At 39.2% G+C, this 13,939-nt stretch overlaps 2 protein-coding genes across 7 annotated transcripts in view; one reads left to right on the top strand and one right to left on the bottom strand.

The window, feature by feature from the left end:
- The window catches only part of THOC7 (THO complex subunit 7), a 30,615-nt gene extending 30,113 nt beyond the window's left edge, over nucleotides 1-502 (top strand). For all 4 annotated transcript variants that reach the window (XM_006713339.4, NM_001285387.3, NM_025075.4 and 1 more), the window contains one exon: nucleotides 173-502. In XM_006713339.4, the coding sequence (XP_006713402.1) occupies nucleotides 173-240 (68 nt within the window). In that variant the 3' untranslated portion in view covers nucleotides 241-502. The remainder of the gene's footprint in view (nucleotides 1-172) is intronic.
- Nucleotides 1-13,939, bottom strand: part of C3orf49 (chromosome 3 open reading frame 49) — a 68,930-nt gene that overhangs the window by 14,265 nt on the left and 40,726 nt on the right. For 2 of the 3 annotated variants that reach the window (XM_047447470.1, XM_024453353.2), the window contains 4 exons: nucleotides 10,803-11,122; nucleotides 6,647-6,771; nucleotides 3,149-3,262; nucleotides 2,114-2,692 (listed from right to left, as the gene is read on the bottom strand). In XM_047447470.1, the coding sequence (XP_047303426.1) occupies nucleotides 2,495-2,692; nucleotides 3,149-3,262; nucleotides 6,647-6,771; nucleotides 10,803-11,043 (678 nt within the window). In that variant the 5' untranslated portion in view covers nucleotides 11,044-11,122 and the 3' untranslated portion in view covers nucleotides 2,114-2,494. Of the gene's footprint in view, nucleotides 1-2,113; nucleotides 2,693-3,148; nucleotides 3,263-6,646; nucleotides 6,772-10,802; nucleotides 11,123-13,939 lie in introns of those variants that run through there. The other variant, NM_001355236.2, reaches the window with a different exon arrangement.

Genomic DNA, 13,939 nt, shown 5'->3' with positions numbered 1-13,939 from the left:
TTTTTTTTTTTAAGTGAAGTCTATCACATAAATTTTAAAGTTTGATTCAACTAGTAGCCATCTTAGCTTTAATTGTATTGGCTAATAAAGGATAAACATGTTTTCATGTGTTCATCGAATATAAAATATAGGCAAACTTGACTAAGGTTTTATGTTTCCTTCTCAATTACAGATGATGAAAAACTCTCAGAGGTAGAAGAAGCTCAGGAAGCAAGCATGGAAACAGATCCTAAGCCATAGACAGGCTAATTGCCCACCACTCCCAGGAATATTGAAATAGCTACATGACCATAATGTGTTTAAAATGTGGTATGCTCTTGAGATATTTAAAGTTTTGGCAGTAAAATACTCTGTTTTTAAGTATGAATGTATTTCATTCATATTTCCTCTCACAAAGGAAAATGACTTCAGTATAGATTTGTTTTTATTAAAATGCATTTTTTATTCTTAAGTGGTAGGAAGCAACATCCAAAAATGCTTAATAAAATGCTTTTAAGCTGCATATGTTTGTGCTCATTAATATTCTAGGTAGTTTTTAACTGGTAACATTGATTGGCTTACAAAATAAGTTGAAAATTGTTAGAAGTTGGCATTTCTAGGATGTACATGGGAAAATGAGCCAATTTCTGGAAATGGTTACACTTCTGAAAACGGAGTCTATGAAGAGGCTTTAGGAGGACCATGAACCTGTGAAATTACATGCAAAATGTTAGTGGTGTATGCTTATTGTGGAGAGAGGTTCCAGGCTGTTAAAATTCGCTGGTATGGGACGTTAATTATAAGATGCAAAGTAAAATAGTGCACATTACTTTATATATCTCTCCTTAATATGAGAGGAATATGGTTCTCAAATGTTTTGTTGATCTGTTTTCTCTACTGTTTTGTTCTTTAGGAATCATTTTCAATAGAAAAAGATGTATTGATAAAGTGAAGAGTGTTTGAAGTAAATAGTTTGTTAAGATTGTTTTGCGTAGGCCAGGCATGGTGGCTCACACCTTTAATCCCAGCACTTTGGAAGGCCGAGGCGGGCAGATCACCTGAGGTCAGGAGTTCGAGACCAGCCTGACCAACATGGAGAAACCCCATCTCTACTAAAAAAAATACAAAATTAGCCAGGTGTGGTGGCACATGCCTATAATCCCAGCTACTCAGGAGGCTGAGGCAGGAGAATCACTTGAACCCAGGAGGCGAAGGTTGTGGTGAGCCAAGATTGCACCATTGCACTCCAGCCTGGGCAACAAGAGTGAAACTCTGTCTAAAAAAAAAAAAAAAAAGATTGTCTTGCATAAAGAATTTATAATCTTTTTAAAAATTAAGCTAAGGCGGAATCACTTGTAATTTTCTTAAGTATTTCATTATATGTGTAATACTTGTTCAGCTCCATCCTTATCCATTTATTTTAGTTCAGAAACATGACACTTTGCATGAATCATACCTTAATGATGTTACATTTTTGTAATTTTAATAATAATTTTTATCTTTAAAAATGAAAGTTTAAAATTAGCTCAGTTGTAGTCATATTAAAAGTGTCATAATACATATAAATGCTTCCTCTAATTTCATCTGGCAAGTCATGGGAGAAATTTCTTTGCAGAATTGCTATGCTGTGACAATCGTTTTTATTTTCCATTATTAGTAAGAATTATGAAACAAAAATTTGCCTATATTGACTCAGAATTAAAAATCCATTTTTCTTTTTTTTTCTTTTCTGAGACAGGGTCTTGCCCTGTCATCCAGGCTGGAGTGCAGTGGCTTGATCACAGCTCACTGTAGCCTTGACCTCCCAGGCTTAAGCAATTCTTCTATGTCAGCCTCCCGAGTAGCTGGGACTACAGGCAACACATCGCCATACTCAGCTAATTTTTAAAAATTTTTCGTAGTGACAGATTCTCACTATATTGCCCAAGCTGGTCTCAAACTCCTGGGTTCACGTGATCCACCCACGTTAGCCTCCCAAAGTGCTGGGAGTATAGATGTGAGCCACTGTGCCCCAGACAAATACCAGTTTTTCAAAAAAGATATTTATTTTTTAAAGGACTATTGGGTAGAATTTTTTTTAAAATGCTGCCTCCGTATCCCCACCCCCATTGATTAATTCACTAGAGAGATTTATTCAGGATTAAGTACCAAAAGATAAGAATCTCTTGGAAGACAACTTTTATTTATTTTTTTATTTTCGAGATGGAGTCTTGTGCTGTCGCCCAGGCTGGAGTGCAGTGGTGCGATCTCGGCTCACTGCAGCCTCTGCCTCCCAGGTTCAAGCAATTCTCCTGCCTCAGCCTCCCGAGTAGCTGGGATTAGAGGCGCCCGCCACCACTCCTGGATAATTTTTGTATTTTTAGTAGAGACAGGGTTTCACCATGTTGGCCAGGCTGGTTTTGAACTCCAGACATCAAGTGATCCACTCGCTCGGCCTCCCAAAGTGCTGAGATTACAGGCGTGAGCCACCACGGCCAGCCTAGGGAAGATAACTTTTAAAGAATCAGGAACAAAGTCAGAAGCAGCAGCAGGTACATGGGAAACACACATTTTTTAATTTATACTTCCTCATGGTTCTCTTGGATATCCTCTGGAACTGTTTAGAAGACTGAAGAATTTCATCCCCCAGAAACTCACACTGTTGAAGCTCAGCATGTCTTTGGGCCAGTAGCTTCATGGATTTATCAGTCACTGTTTCTATGAGGTCATCCACCTATGACAGATAAATACAAAGAAATGAAGCCATGTGTTGGAAAGCCTTGTCAAAATCAAAGGGATAGTTGCTTTTCCTGAGAGAAGAGTTCTGGAACTGGCGGACATTTTGCAAGTCTTAAAATATTATTCTAATTCAAGTCATAGCAAATGGAGCTTGAAAGCATACATTTACCACCCAGTGATAAAGACAATCTCAGTTCTTCTGAAAAGAAACCTATGTATATGCCTTCATTTTAACTGAATTCATTTAACATTTATCAGGTACACAGCATCATCCTAGGTGTCCTTGGCAATCCTTTAGCCACTTTCAGAATGCCCCCCTGCTAACATTATTTCTTAATGCTAATCATTAATTTCATCCCACACCCATGCTGTCTAGCAGGGCTGTGCGTTTACTTAAGCCTGGCTCTCTGATGCTTCTGAGACTCAAAAGTTAAAAGCCTTTGTCCACTACCTGCATTTGAAGCTTTCCTACTGTCAAATCTGATTTTCGAAGGATGTTTTCCATGCCACGCTTCTTTTTTTTAAGTGCTGGAAAGTGTGGTCTCTTTTTTGGTGAATATGGCCCCTATGGTAAAAATGCAAAACACATCAGATTAGGAACTACCAACATTATTTATGTGATGGTGCTTAAACAAGAGTTCTCACCCTTAGGACATTATCTTATAAACTGAACATTTGCCACATAACAATATTGGATTGCAGACTGTATTCATATTATTCTCCACACCCCAAGTATCTTCTTTGTGCCCAGAGCTCTCTTTGAAGAGATCTATAGGGTACAGAGAAATGAGATTGTCTGGCTCTGAAAGAATATACAGCATCAGGAAAAAAGCAGGTCATTCGTAAGGGGAAGAAGAAGAAATTGCCTCTGCAGCTGCTGAGCACAGTAAGAGTGTGGGGCCGTTGTGGACCAGTGCCCCAGAAAGCTCATTATCGTGGATCTAGTTGTTAATTTGGTCTCGTTTCTGCAGGTTTCCTTATTTTCACGGCAGTCACGTCTTCAAACATAAAAAGAAAGCTCTGGGTTCTTTTCACCCCATGCCTGATACTTTTCCCATTGTCCCTGGCTTACTGGTTACAAGTACCTGTCCTAACAGTGTTGCAATTGGAAATCATTCCCAGGTCATGGCTCCCAGCTAATATGCCCTTTTTAGTCTTACTGAGTTTACTCTTCCTTCCCCTTGTGCTTAATAATTAGCATTAGGACTATTGTGAGACCTACACAAAGTAGGATATGGGACCACATCTGGGTCCTACCTTTTGCCTTTACAAATGGAGTCTGCTGAACCACTGCTACCCTGCCAGCTTGCCCAGCTCAAATGTCACTTGCAGAATCTTCCCTGATCTATCTAAAGTAAGACCCCTCTTTTTTCTCTTTCATAAAACCCAGTACTTTTTCCTGTTAAGCAACTAGCATACTAGCATACTTGGCAGTCACTACATTATGTCTGTGTTTATTGAATACAACTATGGTAAAATCTAGTGCCTAGGCAAGTTTTGTAAAGCAGGACTAGTTGGGGCTGGTATGGACTGAAGAGACCACACCTTCTGCAGTACCCTGGCGCAGCTCCTGTTTGTTGCCATGAGGAATTGGCCTAGTATTTTCAAATCTTTTTATTTTTCAAGAGAAAGTAGAAAACCCAGAATTGTATTAGAAATATCCTAATTTCTAAACGTAGACAATTAATTCAAATACATATATATATTTTAAGATGAGGTCTCACTCTGTTGTCCAGGCTGGAGAGCAGTGGCATGATCATGGCTCACTAAAGCCTTGACCTCTGTGGGCTCCGGTGATCCTCCCACCTCAGCCTTCTGAGGATTTGGGACTAAAAGTGTGTACCACCATGCCCAGCTAATTTTTACATTTTTTTTTTGTAGAGATGGGGTTTTGCCATGTTGCCCAGGCTGGTATCAACCTCCTGAGCTCAAGAGATCCTCCCTTACCAGCCTCCCAAAGTGCCAGGATTACAGACATGAGCCACCACACCCAGCCAATTCAAATATATTTTTGAGAACATTCTGAGGGCTAAACAAAACATTTTTATAGCTAGTTGACAACCTCTGATCTAACACCATTTGATGGACAGAAATTCTTAATCATAGCCAAATTGCTCCATCTTTATCTTTATGATTATTGTTATGTGTGTCCTAAGAAGTGTTTCTCTATCCTGAAGTCATGAAGATATTCTTATTGTCCTCCAGGAGTTTTAAGATTTTTGCCTTTTCCACTTAAATCTATAACTGAACAGAAATTAATCTTTGTATATGGTGTGAGATAGGGGTCAATTTTCATTTTTTTTCTGTATGAATGCCCAATTGTTCTAGCAACATTTGTTCAAAAGATTATCCTTACCCCACTGCTGTATGGTGCTATGGTTTAATGTCTATCTCCTCTATTTGACTGTAAGTTCCACAGAAGCAAGACCATGTCCATTAGATCACCCTATACCCCCCAAACCTACAGACTGCCTAAAACATAATAGGGGCAAAATGAATACGAACCTAGCACACAAAAGGCAAAACTTCAAAACTAGTATCAGTGCACTCTGACAGTGGTGTTCAAGAGCAGCACTGTTCAGTGGAACTTTCTGTGAAGATGGAAATGTTCTCTATCTGTGCTGTATAGGACAGCCACTAACTAGGTGCGATTGTTGGCCATTTGAAACGTAGCTAGTGCAACTGGGGAACTGCACTTCTAATTTTATTTAATTTTAATTAACATAGGTGGTGACATGTAGCTATTGACTAGCATATTGGACAGTACAGTTAGTCTGTAGCATGGCAATTACTACTAAGGACTCTAGAGCCAGGTGTTCCTGGGTTTGAAACTTGGCTCTGTCACTTACGTGGGCAAATTACTTAAACTCTCAGTACCATCCCTAAAATAAGAATAATATTGCTACCTACGTTATAGGGCTATTGTAAGGATTATCTGAGTTGATATTTTTAAAGCACTTAGAGTTTGGAACATAGCTTTAAGGTAAGTCTTGTATCTAAAATAATAATAATAATAGTTCATGGTTCTATTTTTGAAAAATAGTCTGGGCAATTTAGGATCAAACATACATACATGGCCAGTAACGGTGGCTTACATCTGTAATTCCAGCACTTTGGGAGACCAAGGCAGGTGGATTACTTGAGGCCAGGAGTTCGAGACCAGCCTGACCAACATGGCGAAACGCTGTCTCTACTAAAAATACAAAAATTAACCAAGCATGGTTGTGCACGCCTGTAGTCCCAGCTAGATGGGAGGCTGAGGTAAGAGAATCACTTAAACCCAGGAGACGGAGGTTGCAGTGAGCTGAAATTGTGCCACTGCACTCCAGCCTGGGCGACAGAGTGAGACTCTGTCTCAAAACAAACAAACACACAAACAAAACCCATGCATACCTATGGATAAGTAAAAGCATTGGTTTGGAGAGTCCTAGATAATCTACGCTGCACTGTCTGTGTTGTACATATGGCTATTTACATTTTAGTTTCAATGAAAATTAAGATTAAAAATTCAGTTCCTCAGTTGCACTGACCAGATTTCAAAGTCTCAAAGCCAAATGTGGCTAACGGCTACTATATTGGACAATGCATACTTACATCTTCACAGAAAGTTCCACTGGACAGTGCTGGTCTAATGAGTTCCACTCCACATAGTATGCACAGATAGGCCAGAATGCTAATATACTAACATTTGAAGAGTGAGAAAGTCAGTTATAAAAATCCAAACTCCATCCACTGTTGCCCAGATGTAGTAGAAGCTGAACAGTTTGAGCTTAGAAGTAGAAGAATCTGACCCAGAGAGTACCCTAAATTCTTGGAGAGGAGACAGAAGCAGCAGATTTAAAGGGCTTATTGTGGAGGACTCATGGTAGGACAGAACTTGGTTTTTGCAAAATCTCTAGACATTGAGTTATGTGTAAGTCTTCAGAGGCAAATTCATTTAGCGTTTTACCTTTTGCAGTCCTGAAGGAAGAGATGTCACAGATAACCGCTTGGTGGTTCTCCTGGCCCGAAGGAGTGTGTTTCCCTGGGTTATCTCCTCTGTCTCTGCCTCTACAACATCAAGTTGTATAGTCGCTTCAAGAAAGGGGGAAAAAGGAATCTGTAAGGATCACAATGAGGAACACATTCTTCCTGTTAAAAATACAGTATTCTTAGAAGACAGCATCACTTGCTGCTTCAGTGGCTTTTTTTTTCTTTAGAGTTAAGAATAAAAAATTGATTTGCTCTTCCCAATCTTACACTTTCTCCTGCACGCATTTGCCTTTTGTTATGGTCATGACCTCAGTGGACACCAACCCAGTCTTTGACAAGGTAGCCACCTCTCTCTCTCTTCGAGATTTAAGTTTTTCCCCTGAACCATTGTGGAATTAGAAAAGTAACCCTCTAACATGCAAGGCCCTCCCTTGGGTATTCATTGTGGATTAAAGCAAATTTTCTATCTATTTTCGAGAAATGTGGCTCAAGGCTCAGTCATTTACATACCATTGATTTGTCTTTCCTATATCCAGGAGCCAGGTGAACTTTGGATTCCTTAACATTTTAAAACATATCAATTCAGTGCTTAACTCCATAAATGTATTTATAAAGGAAACTTTAAAACACTACCATAAATTTAAGACTAGTATGGTAAACAGGCATTAAAATTACTATGCTAAAAACAAAACTATGTTATTTTTTGCAGAAGGCACTAAACCTGAGGTTACTCTCTTTTTCTTTTTTTTTTTCTGAGATGGAGTCTCGCTCTGTCGCACAGGCTGGAGTGCAGTGGCATGATCTAGGCTCACTGCAAGCTCCACCTCCCGGGTTCAGGCCATTCTCCTGCCTCAGCCTCCCGAGCAGCTGGGACTACAGGTACTCTCTTTTTCTTAAAAAAGGGGGTCACTAAATGAGACATTTTCCTTGATGTATTCAAAAGGATGACAGCATTGGGGAAAGGGTGTTTGCAATTTGCTGTGTGTTACACTGTTCTTCATGCAGTGTGCACACCTAAAATCATCTTGTTGCTTAAAGTCCATTGATAAGGACTTCTCTGGGAGCCTCAGACCTCAATGAATACATTAGCCTACTTGACACTTCCACTTGGCTATTTGGCAGGGACCTTATGTCAGCAAGTCTAGCCAGAACTCATGACTTATTTTTCAATCCAGGTCCATTGCTCCTTATATTAGTGAATGATGCCTCCACCTTCAAAGCCAGTGCTCAATCCAGAAATTTTTCCCTCTCCCCAACCCTTCACTGTCCAACTCTTCCCCAACTCTTGTAACTTCTACCTATGCTTATTTCTCCCTTTATCTCCCCATTCCCACTGCCCTGACTAATCCAAGCTAATGTCATTCCTTGCCTGAAAGAATGTATGGGTGCTTATTGTTCTTCCTGCATTTGCGCTTACCCTCATCCAATCCAGTCTACACTAAAAGATAACCAAAGCTATCTTTTAAGAATGCAAATCAGATTATATAAATCCCCAGCTTGAAAGTATCCAGTGGTTTCTTATCACCCTTAGAAGAAAGTTAAAAATTCTCAATGTGTCCTATGACAGACACCCTTACTACCTAATTCAACCAGCCTCCCCTTAGCTCTCTGTGTTCCAACCTCCACTGGATTTCTTTCATTTCCTAATTGTGCCTGGTGATCTCTTGATATTGTGACTTGAACATGCTCTCCCTTATTCCTGGGAAACTGTTCTCCCCCCTCCACCTTGTGTAAGCCATCTTTATGTCTTAGACATCCTTCAGATCTCAATTTAGTTGTCCCTTCCTTGGGGAAGCCTTTCCTGAGACCCCTCCCCTAAAGTTAGAGCACCTATGATTTCTTTCAATAGCATCCTGTGCTCCTTTGGAACAAATGTAATTTTCTGCATGTTTGAAAGCCTCTCCATGAGGGAGGGACTATGTCTGTTCTATGTGCTACTCTATCCCAAATATTGTGGCTGTCATATAATAAGTACTTAGCAGATATTTGTTAAATAGATAAAAACATGTTTTGAAGGTCAGCAGGGAAGAGCAACTGATTTGGGGCCACAACAAAGGGTATTAATGTTTGAGCTACATCCTAAAGGATGAGCATGTTTTCTGGAGAAATCTTAGTTGATATTTGTTATTCCAACTAAGATAAAAATAAACCAGTGCACAGATTAGGAGTAGAAATTTGATCCTCTGTTTTCTGCTGGATTCTTCAATTCCAGCCCCAGCAATATAGAATCATGTCCTCTTTGCTATTTTCAACAGAAATATACAGCTCAATCCATACCAGGTAATTGCTAGATGCTTGGATGCTTGTATTAATGACTGCTTTTTCCAGAACACAGAGTTTGTTTGAAAGTAGTCGGCTGGAAACCATCAGGGTTTTTTTTTGTTTTTTTTTTCCTGGAAAAAGCACACATCAGTTTTGTTGCCTGATCATGGTGTGTAAAATGTGAGGTTGTATGTATATTTACATATACTAGAAGGGCTGTGTGTTTCCTGATTCTGTGCTGTGAAGGACATTAAAAAGCTACAGAGGATATATAGAGCAGTGAAATTATGGTGGATGTATGGTGGATGTATGTTATGACAGAGTATGACATAAAAGTAGGTATTTGTCAAATCCCACAGAACTGCACAATATAAAGGGGGAACCCTAATGTAAACTATAACTTCAGTTAATAATAGTAATATATCAATATTGGTTCATCGATTGTAAATGTACCACTCTAAAGCAAGATGTTAATAACAGGAGCTGTGGGGATCAGGGAAGGGAGGGCATATATGGGAACTCTACATTTTCTGTTCAATTTTTCTGTAAATATAAAAGTGCTATAAAAATAGACTTTTTCTTTTTCTTTTTTTTTTTTTTTTTTGAGACAGGGTCTCTTTCTGTCGCCCAGGCTGGAGTGCAGTGGCATAATCTTGGCTCACTGCAATCTCCGACTCCCAGATTCAAGCGATTCGCCCACTTCAGCTTCCCTAGTAGGGACTACGGGCACATGCCACCATGCCTGACTAATCTTTTTTGTATTTTTTGTAGAGATGGTTTCACCATATTGCCCAGGCTTGTCTCAAACTCCTGGGCTCAAGTGATCCAACCGCTTTGGCCTTCCAAAGAGCTGGGATTACATACGTGAGCCACTGCTCCCGGCCTAGACTCCATTTATTTTTTTAAAAGCCACAGATGAGAATGCAAACATTGGTAGTATTGTTAGTCATGACTCATAGGATGCCACATGGCATTAATACTAGTTGCAAAAACGACTTAAAGTTAACAGTTCAAATATTAATTCTTTCACACAGTACATAGAAAGTAAATGCAATAAAAGTGAGCATTCTTTATGACTTACCAGTTATACATTTTATTCATTTAAGTCTCACTACCCCCTCCACTGTTAGAAGTAGCCATGTGAAAGTCTGCATCACTACTTTTTCCAGAAACAAAACCAAAAATCCCCCTTGAGTTTGATTTTCCAATAAATATATATATGTATATATGAATATATACACACATATATATTTAAATAAAAAGTGACTTTAAACTGATTAGAACACTGTTTAATTGAACTGGAAGGAACCTCCAAGGCAATCCAATTCAGTGCTTCTCAAAAGGTATGAGCAAGGCTCACACCTGTAATCCCAGCACTTTGGGAGGCCGAGGCGAACGGATCACCTGAAGTCAGGAGTTCAAGACCAGCCTGGCCAATATGGTAAAACCCCATCTCTAGTAAAAATACAAAATTTAGCTGGGTGTGGTGGCACGCTCCTGTAGTTCGAGCTACTCAGGTGGCTGAGGGAGGAAAATTGCTTGAACCCGGAAGGCAGAGGTTGCAGTGAGCCGAGATCATGCCTCTGCACTACAGCCTGGGTGATAGAGCGAGATTCCATCTAAACACACACACACACACACACACACACACACACACACACACACACACACACAACGGTATGAACATACAAGCCAACTGAGGATCTTGCTAAAGTGTGGCTTCTCACTCAGAAGGTCCCAGGTAGGGCCTGAGATTCTGCATTTCAGACAAGCTCCTCAGGGATGCCATACTGGTGTAGCAAGATAATCCATCCTAATTTCACTCTTCCTCTTGGCCTCAACCCAAAGACAAATTGCCCAAATATGATTACCATTCTCTGAGAGCTTTCTCATTTTTGCTGTAAATAACTTGGGAGATGAAAACTCCTTGACAATCCTAGGGAGAAGGCTCTGCGTGTTTGACAGGAGGGCTTCTTTATGGTCAGTGGAGCCCTCTTGGCTGGCACATGCTGGCTTGCTTCTATACTTGTAGGACAGCATCCTCCCAAAAGCAGTCTTCACTTTCGTCTTCAAATTACTTTTCTGATTTTGCTGGCTTTCATGAAATCCCATGTCACTATCACTGGATGATTCCTCTTTAGGGACCAATACATTTTGTTTTAGTAAGTTGGTAGACACAGCTCTATGCCATCTAAACAAAATAAAAATGGTTCATATTAGGGAAACTGAAAAGTTAAAAGTGAAAAATTTAAATCATTAAAACACAAACTTCAAATGTGAACCAATTATACAATTCAGAAAAAAAAAATGAAATTGAAGACCAAGAATCAAATCACAGAAAAATAAAGCCAAAGCAACTACTTGGTGTTTTGTTACCAAATTATAGTAATCTGGCTGCTATTTAATTTAAACACAGTACTGTTAGAGGTAGGTTATATTATTGTCTTCATTTTACTTATGAGTAAACTGAGACATGGTTTAAATTAATTGACCAAGGGCTGAATGCAGACTTTAATCCAGGTCTGACTGTTGGAATCCATTAACTTATATTGGCAAATTGGCAATCTTATTTCAATGATAGTTTGACATAGTTTTTGCTAGATTTGGCAGTTTCAAAGTGAAAGTAATAAAAGATGAGAGAGTCTGCTAGGGTAGTCAATAAGGAGTAACCTCCAAGGCCCCATAAATACTGCATTTACATAAAACACTCATTTAGATAACATACTGTAAACTCATATATAGTGACTACGTGTACCATCTTCATAATTTTGGCATATTTTATTATACACAATAGACTAAACAATAGACAACATTTCCTGATAGCTTTCTGTGTGCTAAACACTCTTCCAAGTGCTTTCATGTGTATAACATAATTTAATCTTTATATTCTCATCTCTACTTCACACATGAAGAAATTAAAGCTTGGAGAGATTAAATAATTTATGTCCAGATTATCTGATCCTGAGGTCTGTGTTGTTCACCACTGTGCTAGAGTATCACCTGTACGGTGATACAATTATTACCTAATATTCTTCCTCAATTAACTATTTTTTGTTAGCTTCACCCAAAGTAATAATATCCATGAAATTTCGGTGTTTTTTAAATTAAAATTTTAATGTTGAGATCATTATAGTTTCACATGCAATTGTAAGAAATACAGGGAGGGGGCCAGGCGCGGTGGCTTACGCCTGTAATCCCAGCACTTTGGGAGGCCGAAGCAGGCGGATCACGAGGTCAGGAGATCGAGACCATCCTGGCTAACACGGTGAAACCCTGTCTCTACTAAAAACACAAAACATTAGTTAGGCGTGGTGGCGGGCGCCTGTAGTCCCAGCTACTTGGGAGGCTGAGGCAGGAGAATGTTGTGAACCCGGGAGGCAGAGCTTGCAGTGAGCCGAGATCGCGCCACTGCAATCCAGCCTGGGCGACAGAGCGAGACTCTGTCTCAAAAAAACAAAAAAAAAAGAAAGAAATACAGGGAGATTCTGTGTGCTCTTTACCTAGTTTCCCCAAATGATGACATCTTGCAAAACTATATTTTCACAACCAGCATATTGACACTGAAACAGTCAGAATACAGAACATTTCCAGTAACACCAGGATCCCTCATGTTTTATAGCCACATCCACTATCCACTGGTCCCCCCTTTCTTAAACCGGCATCTACGAATCTGTCTTCTGTTTGCGTAATTCTCGTCCTTTCAAGAATGTTATGTAAATGGAAATATACATCATGTAATTTTTTGAGATATGCTTTTTTTCACTCAGCATAATTCTTTGGGCATTCATCCAGATTTTGTGTATTAATTGTTCATATCTTTTTATTGCTGAGTAATAGTCCATGATGTGAATGTACCACACTTTGTTTAACTATTCACTGATTGAAGGATACTTGGGTTGTTTCCAGTTTGGGGCTATTATGAATAAAGCTGCTATAAACATTTATCTATAGGTTTTGTATGAACATAAGTTTTCATTTCTCTGGGTGAAATCCCAGGTTTTATATTATGCTATTACGTTGTATTAAATATATAACATATATTTCTAATATGGATTAAAACAAATTTATAACCATTAACAATGTTCTTCATATATTACCTAAAATATCTCATGTACCATCAGTAGCATATGTACTACTCTCCAGGAAAACACTGTTCTAAACAGAACCCAAATCATTCAGCCTTTTTCTGTAATTATATATGGGAAGTGGTTCAGTGACAGCCTAGACACTGGAGTTGAATGGTATTGGTTTAACTCAGGACAATTCCTAACTCTGTGACCTTGGGCATGTCATGTAACCTCTATAAGCTTTGGTCTTCTCATTTGAAAATGGGCATAATCTTTTCAGAATTATGAAAATAAAAGGAAATAATTCATGTGTTTGGAACCTTAAAAAGCATTCCATAAATGATACTTTTTATTACCATGTGGATCAGAACAGTGGGGAAAAGCCATTAACTTATGGGGAAAATCCATTAACTTAAAAGGCAAGCAGGGAGCCCACACTAGAGGGCAAAATAAGGGAGAAGCTAGCAGCCTCCCTTCTGGGACCAAGGGCAGGGTTCTGCAAAATGTACATATATGACTTCTAGGGGGTGCTATTCAATTTCATCCTTAGACTTGTGTATAGTTATTATAATGATTTTCTGGCAGATGGCAGTAAAATGTCCTGAGGAGGGAGCACCATTTCCTAATTCACCCAGAGATAACTTATGGGTAGGATTAATCTCCCGTAGACCCCTCTGAGACTCCTTTAATAATAATTTAATTTTTAAGTGATTCTACTACTATAAACATGTACACACATACACATACTGTGACACAGAACAATGCAAATACAGTTTCAGGAGATTCAGGAATTTTGAAGACCACCCATGTTAAAAGCCCAGTTCTAAGTGGTCTCAGAATCTCTAGAAGGTGTTTCCCATTCCCATCCTCCCCACTCTCATCCCCAATCTATCTAGAACATAATTAACAAAGGTGATTTAGCTCCAGAGCCTAGGAACACA

The sequence above is a fragment of the Homo sapiens genome, chromosome 3 (assembly GCF_000001405.40).
Source record: "Homo sapiens chromosome 3, GRCh38.p14 Primary Assembly".
Classification (NCBI taxonomy): Eukaryota; Metazoa; Chordata; class Mammalia; order Primates; family Hominidae; genus Homo; species Homo sapiens.
This window is presented reverse-complemented; position numbering and strand designations above follow the sequence as displayed.